Raw genomic sequence first — 18171 nt, 5'->3', positions numbered from 1 at the left:
CTCTCTTACTTCCCTCTTGGCACAAACCTTGAAGTGTTCACTATATTCATTGCAACCAAGGAAGAATCCCTTGAGTCTAAAGGCTGTGGAAAGTTTGAGGAAACTGAAGAGGGGAGGGCCCAGAATTCCATTCTTTTTGAGCATTCTGGTTCTTTCATGAATTGTATGCAGTCTGTAAGACTTGCAATGCTCATTGCTTTCCTGTCCCTGAGTATTTTTCCTTCCATCACTTCTAGATATTGTTTACCCAAGTGTTGACAGGCAGCTTTTTTCTCAAGGGTACTGGAAGGATGGTTACATTGAAGCTAAGCATTTGGCTGTCTGTTCAATACCACAAAAAGCACACAAGGAATGCCTCTTAATCAAATTTGTCCTCACAAAGAGATAATCTCTGCTCCTTGGTTTGAGAACCACTCATATGCCCCATTGTCATAGCAAATGATGGCTTGTTAAACTTTTCTATGTGTATATATACAAAACAATGTCACTCAAACACAGTGAGTATCACACTGTCCACACAGTAAAACCTTCATTAGTTCCATCTGTGTTTCTTCTAGCCCAAGTGCCGCAGATTAAACTGTAGTATGACTGGCGAAATAGTTCTACTGTTTACCTAAAGAAGAAAACACAAGCAATGCAAGAAGCTCAGCTAGACTCAAAAGTTCTACCATAGGGCAGGCTTCTTTTTTTTTTTTTTTTTTTTTGAGACAGAGTCTCGCTCTGTCTCCCAAGCTAGAGTGCAGTGGCGTGATCTCAGCTCACTGCAACTTCCGCCTCCCGGGTTCAAGGGATTCTCCTGCCTCAGCCTCCCGAGTAGCTGGAACTACAGGTGCACGCCACCATGCCTGGCTAATTTTTGTATTTTTAGTAGAGACGGGGTTTCACCATGTTGGCCAGGATGGCCTCGATCTCCTGACCTTGTGATCCGCCCACCTCGGCTTCCCAAAGTGCTGGGATTACAGGCGTGAGCCACCGTGCCTGGCCAGGGGCAGGCTTCTTATACATACTTTTGTGGGGAAGTTGAAGGGAGTTACTCGTTTACTTACCTACTAGGACTTCAGAACAGAGAGGCAGGATTGTTCTGTGCTGTGTTAATTCCAAGTCATAGTTGAAACAGAGACAACAATAGAAGCCTTTTTGAGAGCTCATGGACTGTTTACTGGCACTGATAAAAGGTGTATGCTGCATCCTACTCATTTTTCTGACCTCAACTTTAGCTTTATGAGCCTGACTCCCCAGGAGGTAGATTGGGTAGGCCACAGCACACCTTGTTCTTGTGGACTTGAAAGTGACTTTAAGTATAAGGTCACAACTTCTGGATGGGTATTCTGGCCCCATCACATTTTTAAATTTTTTTTTTCCAATAGGAATAGTGTTCAAAAATATTTCTGTTTCTGGCAAAGGCAGTATCTCCTCTCTGGATTGAAACCTATTTCCCCTATTATAGTGATATAGAAAGTACAAAAGCATCCAATTATCTACCTTTGGTTTATTAACTCATATCTCTGATATTTTCTGGTTAATTCTTTATGATGGATTACTTCTGGTGAATAATTTATCAGTAACCTTTCAAAAATTATTTTCTAAAAGTCACTGAAAAGTATTATCCATTTTTAAAAATGTTATTTTCTCACAGTACTTTTAGGATGTTTTGGTGTATAAAAACCAGGAAAAAATAGATAAATAATATTTTTCCCTCTTAGAGCGGGTACCTCTCAAATAATGAGTAAGTGATTAGTAAGATAATTTTTATCCCCCTCCACATAGTCTACTTTTAATTTTATTTAGTGACTTAAAATCTTAATTTATTTTGAATTTATGTCCTAATTTCAGTAAAAAATGAAGCAGCTTGTAAAATTACTACCTTGAATTAAATAAATGCTGGGTCAGAGTTTTATTTATTCACTAGAATTCCTTCTATCTGGCTCCTTTGGGACTCAGGTAATCTGGATATATAAGCACCCAAATATTCCAGAACCCCCGTCTCTACCTGAGCAGCTATTGTAGCCTCACAGTTTGTAGCCTATACCTGGAAGTGCAGCTTCCAGTTGACCTGTATCTCCCCATCTCTCGTATCCCACTTTCTGCCTCCACGTGTTTCAAACCCCAGACAGTGTGGATAAACAAGACTTCCTCATAGGCAGGAGTCATTAATGGGCATTTCCATCAGAGTAGTCTTTAAAGAAAAGAAGTAGAATAGACAGCAAACAGTAATTTTCTAAGCAGGCATTATATTTTCAAATTTTCTTATAACTTGAACTTCTTTCCAGTTTTTCCTGGTCTTCTCATTTGAGTTGGTGCATGTTTTAATATTCTCAGAATAGCTTGTCTTGAAATCTTGCCTTCAGTTTTGTATAGAACCCAGAAGGAGAATGGTGCCTTTCTGAAATGCCAAATAACCTGGTGTTATATTGTCACAAACAGAACATTTACTTGGGAGCAATGTATTACCACAGTTAAATGCTCTCCAGATGCCTGCTTTGCCACAAGGGTATAAACAGATATTTTCCAATCTGTATTTACTTCTGCAAACTGCAAGCCTTAAGAAATATTATATAAGCAAGCATTAAGAGATTCTTACCTTTAACTGTGGTCAATCAGTATTTTTGCTCTGTTTAGGGTGACTAAGAGGGATTACAACTTGGCCTGTCACCCCTGGAAACTCTATTGATTGGCTGGACAGCCTGGAAGTTTGCCCAGACTGCTTTGTGGAGCCTGCCATCCCTGGACACATTCGTTGTTCCCCAGAGGCTTACAAGGAGAAAAAATAAAAAATAAGAAACAAATAGAAAAGCTTAAACATTTCAATTAGCAGAATCCACTATGGACAGCATCTCTGATCATGTCTAGATTCTATCAATCCCTTGAACAAGAGCATCCCACTTGAACTTTCCAGGGGCTTCTTGAAAGTCAATGTGAACATAACATTCCAGCTGGCACTTTTCTCCTCTCAGGACCAGGACAGGCTTGAACACAACTAACACAGCCCCTGACCTCATAGAACTTACAGTTCAGTGGGAAAACATATTATACACATACCCTCAAAAAGAAATAGGTATGTATAAAGTGCAGTAAGTTTCAGAAAGAAATTGTTCTGTCTGCATGAGAACGTAACTGAGTTACTTGGTTTAGATTGGAAGATTCAGGGAAAGCCTTTGCAAGGAGGTGTTTGGCAAACTGGGGATGGGGTAGGGAGGGCGGGTAGCATCTAGGCAGAGGGCCTGTCAGACATGAAGACCCAAAGGTGTGTGAGAGCAGGTCCAGTTAAAGGGACTGGAAAAAACAATAAACAGAAAAACACCAATGTGCAGAAGCTTCAGGATTATCATGTGGCTATTATTTTTTCAGAAGATCAATAATGATGCTGTTTATAAATTTGACAAATTTGAAACCACATCTTTGAAGATAATGAACAAATTTTAAGTTTAACAATTAATACAACAAAATTGTTACGTGGTTAGAGATGATCTAAAAATATTTCTGTCTGGGCATGGTGGCTCACACCTGTAATCCCAGTACTTTGGGAGGCCAAAGTGGGTGGATCACCTGAGGTCAGGAGTTCGAGACCAACCTGGCCAACATGGTGAAACCCCGTCTCTACTAAAAATAAAAAAATTAGCCAGACGTGGTGGTGCACGCCTGTAATCCCAGCTACTCAGGAGGCTGAGGCAGGAGAATCACTTGAACCCGGGAAGCAGAGGTTGCAGGGAGCCAAGACTGCACCACTGCACTCCAGCCTGCGTGACACAGTGAGACGCCATCTCAAGAAAAAGTAAAAATAAATAAAAATATTTCTGTGAGTTGTATCGATCGGGCATTGAGTTCAGCCGCATGTAACAGAAAACCCAGCAGCAATGGGTCATGCCACAGAGGGGTTTCTTTTTTTCACACAAGTACAGAACTAACCAGTGGCTGGTTGTTCAGTGGTTCAAGATCCCTTTTGACTATCTGGGCCTTTTGGGTGAGTGTAGCAAAAAGCATTTCCACCCATAGAGTGGGCTAAAAAACACTGGGTTGCAAAAACAGCTAATTGCCCATCCAATATCCAACCTCCCCTTTTCCCTTATTTACAGAACCCAATTTTGATAATCAGCTTTAAAAAAAACTCCCCACAGTGGCTCATGCCTGTAATCCCAGAGCTTTTGGAGGCCAAGGCCAGAGGATCATTTGAGCCCAAGCATTTGAGGTTGCAGTGAGCTGTGATGCCACCACTGCATTCCAGCATGGCCAACAGAACAAAACCCTGTATCTAAAACTGCGCTCCAGCATGGGCAAAAGAATGAAAACCTGTCTCTAAAATTTATTTATTATTTATTTATTTACTTATCTATTTTTGAGACAGTCTTGCTCTGTTGTCTAGGCTAGAGTGCAGTGGTGGACTCTTGGCTCACTGCAACCTCCGCTTCCTGGGTTCAAGTGATTCCTGTGTCTCAGCCTCCCAAGTAGCTGGGATTGCAGGTGTGCGCCACCTCGCCCGGCTAATTTTTGTAGTTTTTAGTAGAAACGGGCTTTTGCCATGTTGGACAGGCTAGTCTGGAACTCCAGGCCTCAAGTAATCCACCCGCCTCGGCCTCCCAAAGTGCTGGGATTACAGGCGTGAGCCACCATGCCTGACCTGTCTCTAATTTTTAAAAATTTTAATAACAAATTTTAACAACCTCCCCATCTTCTCTGACAACTTGGAATGACCATGTGACACTGTTCTGGCCAATAAAATATATGTGAAGTCTGCTGGCTGGCAAGTTCTAGGGTTTTCTGTTCTGATATACACATTACTCCTATGTTTTGTGTCCTGCCCTTGCCTGGAAATTTGGGGACAGTGACTGGAGCCGGAGGATCCACGCTGCAGTCATGACTTTGGGGCATGTGTTCATCATCCTCTAAGACTCTGAAAGTCTGGAGGAGTCAGTTGCATTGTTAACTGGACTTAAAACGAATCTTGTCCTTGTGATGAACGTGTTCAATTAATGTTCATGTCCTGGAAGTTGTATGATTCAAAATAGAGTCACTTGTGTCAAACTCTGGCCATTGGGGTCAGAGAAGGCCATGAAGGGAGGGCTCTCACATGTGATTTGTCTGACAAAAGGAACTATCACAAGAAATTTTTTCAAACTGCAGCTAGCAGCACAAGGAGAGATAGCCACTTATATAAGAACATTTGCCTGTTTTAAAAACTGTCTCACAAGCCCAATAAAAAACTATAAGGGTGGCTCACGCCTGTAATCCCAGCACTTTGGGAGGCCAAGGCAGGTGGATCACCTGAGGTCAGGAGTTCGAGACCAGCCTGGCCAACATGGCGAAACCCCGTTTCTACTAAAAATACAAAAAAAAAATTAGCTGGGCATGGTGGTATGCACCTATAATCCCAGCTACTTGGGAGGCTGACACAGGAGAATCACTTGAACCCGGGAGACAGAGGTTGCAGTGAGCAGAGATTGCACCACTGCACTCCAGCCTGGGCAACAGAGTGAGACTCTGTCTCAAAAAAACCCCAAAACAAACAAACAAAAAAACCTACAAGTGCCTAACCGTAACTCCAAGGTTACAAATCCTACCTAGCAACTACTGACATTCACCAGTCAGAACTCACCAGCGCTTGTAAGACACTGCTAGTACCAATAAGCTTTCTTTCAAAACAACTTGTGTAAACCTCCTCTTTCCCCAGTGGGCCCCTAATCGTTTCCTTTGTTTTCTGGACATTTCAGAGGCCACCATGATCTGCATGTATGTATGTATGTCCCAGACGGCAATCTTACTTCTTGTCTATTATTCCCAAATAAAACCTTTATACTTAGAGATTCATTTCTCTATATTTTTCATGTTGACAATGTTTTACACAGGTTTGTTTGCTTTATGGTAATGTTCTGTTCCATCAAGCTGCAGCATCTGACCTGTTCTCTTGCCCTGTTGAAAGGCAGACAGTCATGTGTTGGCTTCTGCAGCCTGCCTGTTGTAGCTTTGGAGTAAAAGAAAACCAAAAAATAAACTTCCTAAATGATTTAATCAATCCAAGATGTAGGCCATTTTCAGATCATTTGTTGTACTTGTAATTTTAGAATTCTAGATCAGCTTTGCACCTCAGTATTTTCTGAGATCTTCGTTTAATTGCATATCCTGGGTTCAACTTGAGGAACCAAGGAAATGGTTGGGTCTGAGTGGTGGAAAGCAAGAAGGAGGCATAGCTGGAACAGGCATCTGGAATACCATGACTCACATCCTTGAAACTTTTTTTTATTTTATTTTTTGAGACTAGATCTGGCTCTATTACCTGGGCTGCAGTGCAGTGGTGCGGTCTCGGCTCACTGCAACCTCCACCTCCCAGGCTCAAGCTATCCTCCTACCTCAGCCTTCCAAGTAGCTGGGACTATAGGTGCACACCACCATGCCCAGCTAAGTTTTGTATTTTTTGTAGAGACTGGGTTTTGCCGTGTTACCCAGTCTGGTCTTGAACTTGTGAGCTCAAGCCATCCACCCACCTTGGCCTCCTAAAGTGCTGGGATTACAGGTGTGAGCCACTGCGTGCAGCATGACTCACATCTTTGTGGACTCATACATTATTTCAGCCATGTCAGTGTTGACAGTTCTGTGCAGGTTTTGGTACGTTTTGTGCTGACTATGACCCTTGCACACATAACCTATGTGGTAGCCAGCCCACATGATGGCCCCAATTGTCTCCACTTCCTGGCATTCCCATTCTTGTGTAGTCCCCTTCCCACATTTCATTGGGGTTGGTCTGTATGACCAATAGCTTAAATACTATTGGTGAGGTCAAAAGACATGTGGCTTCTGCCTTGCTCTCTCTTGAATCATCGATTCTTTGAGAAGCTAGCTGCCACACAGTAAGGACACTTGAACAGCCCTATGGAGAGGCCTTTGTGACAATAAATAAGGCCTACTGCCAACAGCCAGCGAGGAAGCTGCCATGTGTATGGGCTCTCTTAGAAGCAGATCCCCCAGCCGTAGTCGGGCCCTCAGGTGATGGAATCTTGGGTTGATGTCCTGACTGCAACATCATGAGGGACCCTGAGCCAGAGTTTCTCAGCTGCTCCGACATCCAGGCTCACAGAAACTGTGGAGGAATCATTGTGATTTTAAGCCACTAAATTTTGGGATGATTTTTTTCTGTAGCAATGGATAACTAATACATCATATATTTTTGTTTTCTATACTGGGACAACACAGACACTAGGAGGGTTGGCTTTGCTCAAGCATATGCATAGATCAGGAAGTTAATACTCCTGGGAATAACCTTTGACCCATGGGAAGGGAACTGATGAATCCATGGACCTGCTTCCTAGCTTTCAAGAGAATGGTTCAAGAAGGCATTAAACGGGCTTCTCAGGTGGTCCTGGCAGAATCAAGCCCTTATTTCCCGTAGTAGCGCATTTCCCTGCCTTGCCATCTCACTCTCCCTGCTCTCTCTCTCTCTCTCTTCTGCCCTAGGACCACCTCCAAAATTATCTATCTGCACAAAAGCGCTGGCATCAGGCTCTTCCTTCAGGGAAAACCAAGCTAAGACAGTAAGAGTGTGATGAAATTCCTGCAGGAAGGAAGAAAGGAGAACATGAACATTGGACTTAATGGATGAGAGCAGCAGGCTGAGCTAAGCTTAAGTGGAATATACAAAGAAGAAGCTCATTTTATTGGAGGACTTCTTTAGTTTTTTTTAAAAAAAATTTATTTTTTATTTATTTATTTTATTATACTTTAAGTTCTGAGGTACACGTGCAGAACATCCAGGTTTGTTACATAGGTATATGCGTGCCATGGTGGTTTGCTGCACCCATCAACCCGTCATCTACATTAGGTATTTCTCCTAATGCTATCCCTCCCCTACCCCCCAACCCACCTACAGGCCCTGGTATGTGATGTTCCCCTCCCTGTGTCCATGTGTTCTCATTGTTCAACTCCCACTTACAAGTAAGAATATGCGGTGTTTGGTTTTCTGTTCCTGTGTTAGTTTGCTGAGAGTGATCGTTTCCAGCTTTATCCATGTCCCTGCAAAGGACATGAATTCATCCTTTTTTATGGCTGCATAGTATTCCATGGTGTATATGTGCCACATTTTCCTTACCCAGTCTATCATTGATGGGCATTTGGGTTGGTTCCAAGTCTTTGCTATTGTGAACAGTGCTGCAATAAACATACATGTGCATATGTCTTTATAGTAGAATGATTTATAATCCTTTGGGTATATACCCAGTAATGGGATTGCTGGGTGAAATGGTATTTCTGGTTCTAGATCCTTGAGGAATCGCCACACTGTCTTCCACAATGGTTGAACTAATTTACACTCCCACCAACAGTGCAAAAGCATTCCTATTTCTATTGGAGGAATTCTTTAGCAGTGTGATGATAAATTATTTTTTGATTTCCTTCTCTTTTAAATAAAACGTGAGTGTTTTACATAGTGTCAGCTTTGAAAGTTTCCTAATTAGACATTTACATGTCAGGACCCTTACAAGCCCTTTCTCCTGGCATTAATGAGGTATAAAATAACTTCTGAGAAAAAAGGTAAATTGTGCATATTGCGTTCCTCCATTCTCAAAAAAAGAAAGCTCATTCTCCATAGGCATGATTGCCAAGTTCAGGCACAGTTGAGAAGTTGCCAAGGGCTTTGGGGTCCGCAAAGAGAGTGTCCTCACCTGCTAGCCTGCCAGCTGGTCAGCTAGAATAGTGAGGGCTCACTGGAGAAATATTTTCTTAAGGAGAAGGAATTCAAACTTCTTTTACTGTGTTGGGGCATCATTGTTGGTCTCTGCCCACATAAAATAGTCTCATACAAGGAATGTTTTAGGAGGAACAGTGAAAAGAGTTGTTTCAATTTTGCACCAGCCATGGAGCTCCAGGAGAGTGGGAGACAAAGGCAGCCCTTTTAACAGGTATTTTTTTTTGTCTCTTTTTAATGAAAGGAATTGTCATTATACACTAGATTTTCTTTTTCTTAGTTCAGATAGTTATCTTGCATTAGCCTAATTATATTAACCATTTGAAGTCTGAAGTCTTAAGGTGATGTCACTTTAAAGTCAGGTGACAGCAAAAATTAAGGGAGTTTGATGGCTGGTTCCTTTGGCTATGATGCCATTCTTTACCTGCCTGAGAGATGGTTGACAAGGGGAAGGCAGAAAGCTTCAGTCCAAGTCCAAGTTCAAGTTCATTTCCAGTAGACTGAAACCTAGGCTTACATGGCATCCAGTTACTTTTTGTAGCCTCCAGACCCCCTTACAAATTCAAATTCAGAGATGTGGTAAAGATAAAACCTATTCTGGTCATGGGCACTGTTTTACAATAAATCTGGGCTTCAACCTGAGAAGTACAAATGAGGGAAAATCAAGTGGGAACTGGACAGAAATGTGAAACACAACAGAGGATGGTAGACACTGGAATCGCAGGAGCTGGAAACCTAGTGAAGGGCTGTAGGTCATTCATTCAACATTTAGAATACCTACTTGGTGCCCTGCACAGTGCTGAATGTGTAAAGACGATGATGGCACCGACCTTATCCTCAAGGAGCTCCACTCAGTGAGAAATATGACTTTGTTTTTTAGAAAATAAATGAGATTCCTAGCTGGTGTCATTTTTGACATTTTTGCAGTGGGATATTTGCAAAGACCCTTCTTAAAGTCAGAGATTGATGTAATTGTGACAGTGACCATGACTCCTAGTCCAACTTCTTCTTCTAAAATAACTTTCAAGATAACGTAATTGAAAGCTTTTCGGAAAATGCCTGACAAATGACAAGTATCTGGCAAGCTAACTGCATATAATAATTCAAGGTCCCTGTTATAGTTTGGATATTTGTTCCCTCCAAAGCTCATCTTAAAATGTGGTCCCCAGTGTTAGAGGTGAGGCCTGGTAGGAAGTGTTTGGGTCGGAGGGGTGGATCCCTCATGAATGGCTTGGTGACCTCCCTGTGGTAATGAGTGACTTCTTGTTCTATTAGTTCACACAAGAGCTGGTTGTTTAAAAGAGCCTGGCAGCTCTCTTGCTTCCTCTTCGCCACATGACACACCTGCTCCACCTTCACTTTCTGCCATAAGTAAAAGCTTCCTGAGGCCTCACTAGAAGCAGATGCTGGTGCCACGCTTCCTGTCCAGCCTGCAGAATCATGAGTGAATATAAATCTCTTTTCTTTTTAAATTACCCAGCCTTAGGTATTCTTTTAGAGCAATGCAAAAAACTGACTAATACAGCCCCTGATTCCAACTCAGTTCTTTTCCCTCAAGACACCAAAGCCTACTTTCCTGGGACTTGCTCTCTTCTCCACATCACACAGTCCTTTCCTCACGACCCCCGCTTTTCCTTGATGGGACTGAGGGTAGGGGTGAGAGGGCTGTACTGGAGCTTGCCTGTGAACTGAGCCCCATTGAGAGCTGATCCTTTTGACCAAAGTATCAAAGCAATCCAGCTGCGGATTAAGAAACAGAAGGCTCTGCAGCTTTGGTTTAAGAGTCAGGTCATAGAGCTCTTTGAAGAGCTTGAGCTCTTGGAGGAAAAAAATAGCGTGAGGCAAGTTCCAAAATGCACATACATTGCATTTCGATAGAGGAGGCAGCAATATAAAGTACAGCAACAGATTCTTTAGCAAATATAATGGGGCATATTTATCTTAAGGAGTGTTGTCTTCTTCAGTGCAAGTTACCATAGTAGACAAAACACTTTTTTCTACTCTGCTGCTATTGCTCAAAGCAATTTCCTTTTGGAATTGCCTTCAAAGTTGGCATGGTATTCTTTTGCATATTCTCAGGAGAAGGCACTTTATCCTTTGAGAGAGGATTTAATTTTTTGTTAAAGAGTCAGAAGCCATTTAAAGCCCAATATGATGAAAAAAGCTAGTGATCAAGCTGAATGGTGTTTGTGACTGTAAAGTAACGAGGCTGATGTGGGTGCATGGGCTTACGCTGTTTCTGAGACAATTTCAGCAAAAGCACCCTTAGTCTTTTGTACTAAGTTGTATTACTTTGACAGGGCTGCCATAACAAAGTACCACAGACTGGGTGGCTTAAACAACAGAAATTTATTTTCTCACAGTTTTGGGGGCATGAAGTCCAAGATGAAGGTGTCGGCAGGTTTTGGTGTCTCTGGAGGCCTCTCTCCTTGGCTTGCAGATGGCTATCTTCCCGCTGTGTCTTCTCATGGCCTTTTCTCTGCGTGTACCTCTGGTGTCTTTTGTGAGACCAAATTTCCTCTTCTTGTAAGAACTCTAGTCACATTGTATTATGACCCAACTAAAGGGCTCGTTTTAATTCAATCACCTCTTTAAAGGGCACAATCTCCAAATACAGTCACATTCTGAGGTTCTGGGGGTTAGGAATTCAACATATGAATTTTAGGGGAACACAATTCCCCTAAAGAGCCAATGACACAAGTCATCACTGAGTAAGTATAACTTCTGAAGTGCTCTATTCTGAAGGACAGCATCATTTTTATGTGTAAGTACTGGTGTGCTTTTTAAAAAGTAATTACTTCCATCGATGGATAAATGGATAAATGAAATGTGTATGTACATATAATGGAATATGATGCAACCTTTAAAAGGAAAGAAATTCTGACATGTTACCACATGGATGAACCTTGAAAACATTATGTCAAGTGAAATAAGCCAGACACAGAAGGATACCTATTGTATGATTCCACTTATATAAGGTAGAATAGTCCATCACATACAGAAAGAAAGTGGAAGAGTGGTTCCCAAAGGCTAGGGGTAGGGATAGGGAGTTAATGTTTAATGGGTAGAGTTTCCATATGGTAGGATGAAAACGCCTGGTGATGGATGGTGGTGATGGCTCTACAACAATGTGAATGTACTTAATGCCACTGAACTGTACACTTAAACTGATTAAAATCATAAATGTTATGTTATATATATTTTACCATAATAAAAAAAATTTAAGTAATCACTCTGTAGTTGTTGGTCAAGAAATAAAGCCTAAGTTTTTCCAGCAGATATGGCTTAATATGCCCTATTGAATTAATATGGCCTGTTTCTATTGAAACAAAAGATAAATGTATAAACCCAGGGGTATAAATAGTCCAGGAAAGTTGAATTGTTATAATTTAGGATGCCATGTCTTAATTATTTCTGAGCAAAAGTTGTCTCAGTCACAAATAATAACAGCAATTTAGTAAGTTTAATTTTTGACTTAATAGTGTGGTGATTGTCCACATGAGCTTTCCTACCAAGAATGGGCCATGTCTGCAGGTCAGGGTAGGAGGTGGCTGCCCATGCCTAGGACCTAATCTATTTAAACCATAAAACAAATTAAGTCTGGTTCCTGATTTCCTTTCTATACCTCTTCTCCGTCTGCTGAAATCTTATTTCCTCTTCCCACTGAGCTCTAAGTGCCTTCAGTACTGAAGTTTTGAAGCTCTAATCCTCTTGCCATCAATTCCCCATCCCAGCCCTAGGTCCACCATCCAGGAGGCCAGGCACAATTAATCGGAATTATCCCTACTTTCACCTCTTGCTCCATCCCATCAAACCTTCCAATGGTCTAATAACAGGCTTTCAGAAGGGGTGTGGATCATGAAAAGAAATACTATTTACTATAAAACATTTAGTGATTTGCAAAAGAATAAACTGTGGAAAAATATATTGATTCCGTCTCTCACTTAAGAGGAAAGCAAATTCATACTAAGATGTACAGGACTGAAGGATTTACTGATAGGTGGCAATTCTTTAGGCCAGTACTATGGCTGTCACTTCTTGTTGTGCTTGGCTACTCTGAGTAAAGTGCATCATTTTTCTTTTGCAAGATTGAAGTGTGAGAGGAATTTTATTAGAACTTGGCAGTCCCCTTTCCTAGCTCTTTACCACAATCAACCAACCCTACACAGATGTCACTAGAAAGCTACATTGCTTCTGTTAGCCATATGCTTGACCAAGATAAGCCTCCTCAATAGGATTATTCTTTTTTCATATATGGAGAAACATAATCAGGTTCCTGATTAATCTGGCTTCCCTGGACTTGCTTTTGAAATAAATGAAACACCATACCAAAATGGCATTCCACTGATGTCAGCTTGGACCAAAGCTGCTCTATTAAATAAATGATTCTAACCCTGTAAAAATATTTGTATAAGTTGCTTCCAGTTACAAGGGAATCTTTCTCAGATATAACTCTCTATAAAAATGACTCTTCTTTAACTTTCCTGAAGTCTAGTTTTTGAAGTGTCACAAGGCATTGTGATATAATTCCATCTTGAAAATGGTCTCATGGGATTAGACCCTGAAGATGCCAGCGAGCTTCACTTTATAATATATGCAAAATAATGAATATCAAGCCAAGTATTCTAAATTGTAAAACTATTCTTAGGGCAGCAACAAGGGCATCACTTTGGTTCTCTCTTACTCCATTGCCATTAATATCAATGCATTAACCAATATCTAATTGTTGCTGTTGAAGCTATCACATCTTTGAATTCTGGAGCCGTGCTGAATTTTTAGCATTTCCCATATCAGGAGTTTCACGTTAAGTCCAAGGAGTGAGGAAGGACAGCAAGCGTCTCACCATGGTGAGCATCTGACTTTCTCTGATGCTGGTGAAAGTATCAAGGCTGTGAGGAAATCCCTCAGAGGTAAAAGCTAAGGCTGGGTCCCTCCAGTAAGAATGCGAATGCCGCTTCTGCAAACTGACTTTCTGAACTAGTATCTAACAAAAAGTAGAATCCCTTCTCAGGTCCCACTGCCCTTCTGCCTTTCTGCTGCTTTTTATCTCACCCTATTGATCCAACTCTGCCTAGCCCGAGACTGAGGAGCTCTTGAGATCGTGGAGTCAGAAACATCTGCCACCTATGAACTGTGAGGTTCGGGCAGATTTCTGAACCTCCCTCAGCTTGTTTGATTACCCATAAAAGAGACCGTTGTGAAGAGTAAACAAGATAATAATAAAATCCCATGGAAAGTACCAAGTGCTGTTACCTCGTGCTTGTTAGTAGGCCGCACAGAGCGTCTTCCGAGGCCCTCCACTTGGGAGCTGAGCTGATAGTCACCCAGGTCTACACGCAGCCCGGTTCCGAGGCCATCACGCAGATCAGGAAGCGAGCACTCAGCAATTAACTGACCGGATTAGGGAGGAAGGAGTGATGCCGACAGCGGCAAGGGCCTTCATGTCTTTCTCAAGAGCTCAAGCTCCCTCTCTGAGGGAGAATAAAGGCCATCATTTTTCAGGGATTCCTTCAGGGATAAATTGGGAAGTGTTTGGCAATTTACTGATCCCTAAACTGGGAGAAGTAGTCCAGATCAGAGCAGAATTGAGTTGGTCAAAGTGCTCCTGCTCAGATGGCTTCAGATGAGAGAACTTTAGAGGAAGAGGTTGCTGTCTAATTGAATGGGGAAGCAGAAGGAATCCCCTTGGACTTACACATTAAATAAAAGGGAGAATCTAATGATTAACAAGAATTTAGTTATTTTAGAGGTCTGATCTGGAAGACTGTTTCGGATTCTCCTCCATGGTTTCTTCTTCACCTCTGGGTTTCAGAGATGTTGAACCAAACCAGGAAACCGCAAGACCCTCTGATGTGGGGCAGGGGCCCTTGAGGCGCCCCGGCAGGAGGTCGGAGGCCGCGGGAGCCGCGGGAGGGGACGGGAGGTCACAGGCGCCCCAGGAGGGGAAGGGAGGCCACAGGCGCCCCGGGAGGGGATCAGAGGCTCGGGCGCCCCGGGAGGGGAAGGGAGGCCACAGGCGCCCCGGGAGGGGATCAGAGGCTCGGGCGCCTCGGGAGGGGAAGGGAGGTCGCCAGCCGCCGGCAGGCCGCGCAGGGTCTGGGGCTGTGAAAGAGCAGCGGCTGCCGGCCGGCCCTGCGCCCCGGCTCGCAGCCACCGCCGCCCCACACACGCGGGATCACAGGGGAGCTGACGTTTCATTTATCGACTGAGCGACTCTGAAAAAGGCCCCTGTGCCCAATTACCGCGGCGCGCCGTCTGCTCGGCGGCGGGCTGAGTTGGGAGGCGCGGGCGCCCAGTGCTGGGGGTGGAGCGGGGGGCGGCCTTCGAGGGAGCGGTGGCGAGGAGGATTCCTGTGTGAAAAACCAGCCGCCACCAAGCCCGCAGCGTCACCTCCTCACCCCTGGCGGCCTGGGAAAGCGGCGGCCGCGCGGGGGCCCGCCCTCCGCACGCCCCCGAGGCCTAGCCGCCAAAGGGCGCTGGTCTTCCCGGGCCCGAGGTTCAAGCGTCCGTCATTTCTCAGGACCTTTTCCTCTCTTATTTTCTTTTTCTTTCTTTCTTTCCTTTCATTTTTTTTTAAAAGAATGTGCCGGTGGCATTTGAGAGTATAAAAAAAAAAATACTAATAACAAATAGGGCTCGGTTTTCTGTCTCGCCCGTCCCGGACTCTCCACGAAGCCGTCCCCAGAGAAGGCGCTGCCCCCTCGGCAGCCTTCCAGGGATGCCCCGGGCCGCTTGGCTTCCTGACAGGGGCCCCGGGCTGCCCCCTCCGCCTATGGCCAGAGTGCATCTTCTCCAGTTTTATAAAGGCAGTCTTTGAATCTCTAGCTTTATCGATTTGTACTCAAAGATTTTCGTATTGACAAGGAAAAGCTCCTTTCCGCCACTCATTGCACGTAGGCGGGAGGCCCCTAATCAGCGATCAGTTAACCTGTTTACCAGACACCTGACAGGAAGGTGGCGCGGTGGAGTGCAAAGGACAATGGCCCATGCGTCAGGAGCCCGGGGTCATGTTTCCAGCTTTTGCGAGGACTTCACCACCTCTGCCCGCCGTGCCTCACTTTCTCCTAGGAGAGAGGCTGGATAAAGGCGCTTTGAGAAAGCTCCATTGAGGATTAGTGAGATAGTATCTGTGTAGAGCTCTGCGGTTCTGGAAGGAAAATGCTGTGTAAACAGAACTGGCTGAAATCAACGCCCTGCTCACCACTATTAATCTTGACTTCCCTTCCTTGTCTGTTTTGGCATCACTGTATAACCCGATATGTATATGCGTGTGCCTGCGTGTATGCGTGTGTGTTTGGGGAGGTGGGGTGGGATTTGGGTTCAGAATAAAAACCAATCCCTTAAAAACTATTAAAGCCAGGTACATTCCAGGCTGGGAAACCCCTAATGCTTGACAGATGAAAGCACTGTCTTCTTTCAACTCTGTATTTCACATTTTTCTATCTGTGCTACATTAACTTTCTGAAGTTTTCTCTGAATAATCAAAAGAAGCAAAATGAAATTCAAGAGGTTGTTGTTGTTGTTGTTGTTTGCTTTTTTGCTTTTTTGCCTGCTTGCCCACATCCACATGTCTATCTTTGGAAAATTGTAAGGGACTTGAGCAAAATTTAATGTAAGAAATAAATAATTGCAGTGAATGAAACTAATAGTTCACATGACACTACCTTATGCCTTGTGGACAACAAGAAGTTAACCAATTCTCTCTGTCCAATGCTGAAAGTTTAGTGTGGAGCTGGGTACAATGAGAACCTCTGATCCAGATGCCACTCCACTCAGCCTGGGAGAGTCACGGAAGGGCATTTAGAAGTTCCCCTGCTTTCAGCCGTCCTCCCACTCCTGTAACCTGGGGTCCTCCCACCCACCCACAGCCCCAAATCTCTCACATCAGAATGGCCAAGGGTAAGGCAGAAACATCTGAGCTGATAATGCCTTTAGCATACTACCCTGCAGAGGCCTATGTGGCTCATGCTTGCGTTAAAACAAAATATATAGCCTGATAAATCTGTTAATTGTAGATACTGCTTCACTTCTAACAAAAAACTTTGTGTACTAAAGATTTAGGCTAAAAGAGCTGTTGATTTTTATGCGGGATTTTACTCTCCTAAAAATCAAGTAAATCAACTTAATGCCTTTTATGTATCAGGTGGAATTATAGACACCAGACAAGAAACATCCATCTATCTCCTTTCATTTTGTTACATATTCTCAAGGGGCCACATGATTGGCAGTAACTTTCTTTTTATAAATTCTAAACTGGGTTTCTACCGCCAAATCCCAGGTGGTAGAAGAAGGCATCCTGAGGCATCCAGGCCATTAGGGCAACTGAAAAAACTCTGCCTTCTCTTTCTAGAAGGCTTCCCTCAGTCCTTCCATTTATAAAAAATCATTTAGAGACATCACTAAATATATTATCATTATAACATTTGATTTACCAAAAAAAATACTCAATTAAAAATTCAGTTAAGTTCAAGTCCTATAGATCATGATGAGTTTACTGAATTGATCAGAGAAGTTAAAAGATGAAACTTCTGTATCTGGTTCTACCCCTCGTGTTGCTGGCCTTCAATAAGTCACTTGACTTGTCCGTTCCCATTAATAAAAACAGGAAAGCAGGACCTGTCATAAAACTGCCTGGGAAGTGATGAGAACTAAATACTTTTTTTGTGCGTTTTTTTTAATAAGGAAATGCTCTGGTGAGGTAACACTTGACTCAAACAATGACTCCCAGCGTTAACTCTCGGATACACAACTATCAGATTAGAAAGCATTTTTTAAAAAAGACTTATATGGCCATGCACTGAAGGTCATATACCTTGTTATTAGGAGATTCCCACAGACACCCACAGTTGCTTTTTCTTGAAGCACAATCCTAATAGTATTGGTTTGTTGTCATTTTTTTAAAATCCACCTCACAATAGACCATTAGAATGGAAAAGATAGAATACTCACTGTAACTGATAACCTGAAGAGAGTTTCAGACTTCAGAAAAGAAGTGCCAAGTAATTTAAAAAACAAATAGGTTCATATGGAGTCGTTGCATGTGTGAGCAAACTTCCCTTTCCAAGCCAGGCACGGTGGCTCATGCCTGTAATTGTAGCACTTTGGGAGGCTGAGGTGGGCAGATCACTTGAGCTCAGGAGTTCCAGACCAGCCCGGGCAACACGGCGAAACCCTGACTCTGCTAAAAATACAAAAATTGCCCAGCTACTCCGGAGGCTGAGGCATGAAAATCCCTTGAGCCTGGGAGTGCAGTGGTTGCAGTGAGCCAAGATTGCACCACTGCACTTCCAGCCTGGGCAACAGAGCGATACTCTGTCTCGAAACAACACCACCACCACCACCAAACCTTTCCTTTTCAGCACAAAAGGCCATTAATATTTTCCATATAAATGACAATAATTATGAACTTTAATCCTGAAGACAAGGTGAAATTACACTTATTGCACCATTTAGAAAGGCAAGCAAGTATAAGGATTATAAGGATTTTGATTTAAAATAGATTT

At 43.1% G+C, this 18171-nt stretch overlaps 1 long non-coding RNA gene across 2 annotated transcripts in view, besides 3 other annotated features; it reads right to left on the bottom strand.

Annotated features, from left to right (window-relative positions):
* The window catches only part of LOC124901966 (uncharacterized), a 39094-nt gene extending 24278 nt beyond the window's left edge, over positions 1–14816 (bottom strand). The window contains exon 1 of one of the 2 annotated variants that reach the window (XR_007060977.1): positions 13922–14816. This is a non-coding gene — a long non-coding RNA (uncharacterized LOC124901966). The remainder of the gene's footprint in view (positions 1–13921) is intronic. The other variant, XR_007060976.1, reaches the window with a different exon arrangement.
* Positions 5595–5664: a silencer, noted in NCBI's record as "silent region_19316". NCBI's record gives its function as "represses an Ori minimal core promoter by ATAC-STARR-seq in GM12878 lymphoblastoid cells {active_cell/tissue: GM12878}" and the evidence as "EXISTENCE:reporter gene assay evidence [ECO:0000049][PMID:35858748]".
* Positions 14678–15197: a silencer, noted in NCBI's record as "silent region_19315". NCBI's record gives its function as "represses an Ori minimal core promoter by ATAC-STARR-seq in GM12878 lymphoblastoid cells {active_cell/tissue: GM12878}" and the evidence as "EXISTENCE:reporter gene assay evidence [ECO:0000049][PMID:35858748]".
* Positions 15698–15907: an enhancer, noted in NCBI's record as "active region_27551". NCBI's record gives its function as "activates an Ori minimal core promoter by ATAC-STARR-seq in GM12878 lymphoblastoid cells {active_cell/tissue: GM12878}" and the evidence as "EXISTENCE:reporter gene assay evidence [ECO:0000049][PMID:35858748]".

The sequence above is a fragment of the Homo sapiens genome, chromosome 8, assembly GCF_000001405.40.
Source record: "Homo sapiens chromosome 8, GRCh38.p14 Primary Assembly".
Lineage (NCBI taxonomy): Eukaryota > Metazoa > Chordata > Mammalia > Primates > Hominidae > Homo > Homo sapiens.
Note: the sequence above shows the minus strand (reverse complement) of the source record. Positions and strands in the feature narration are given on the sequence as shown.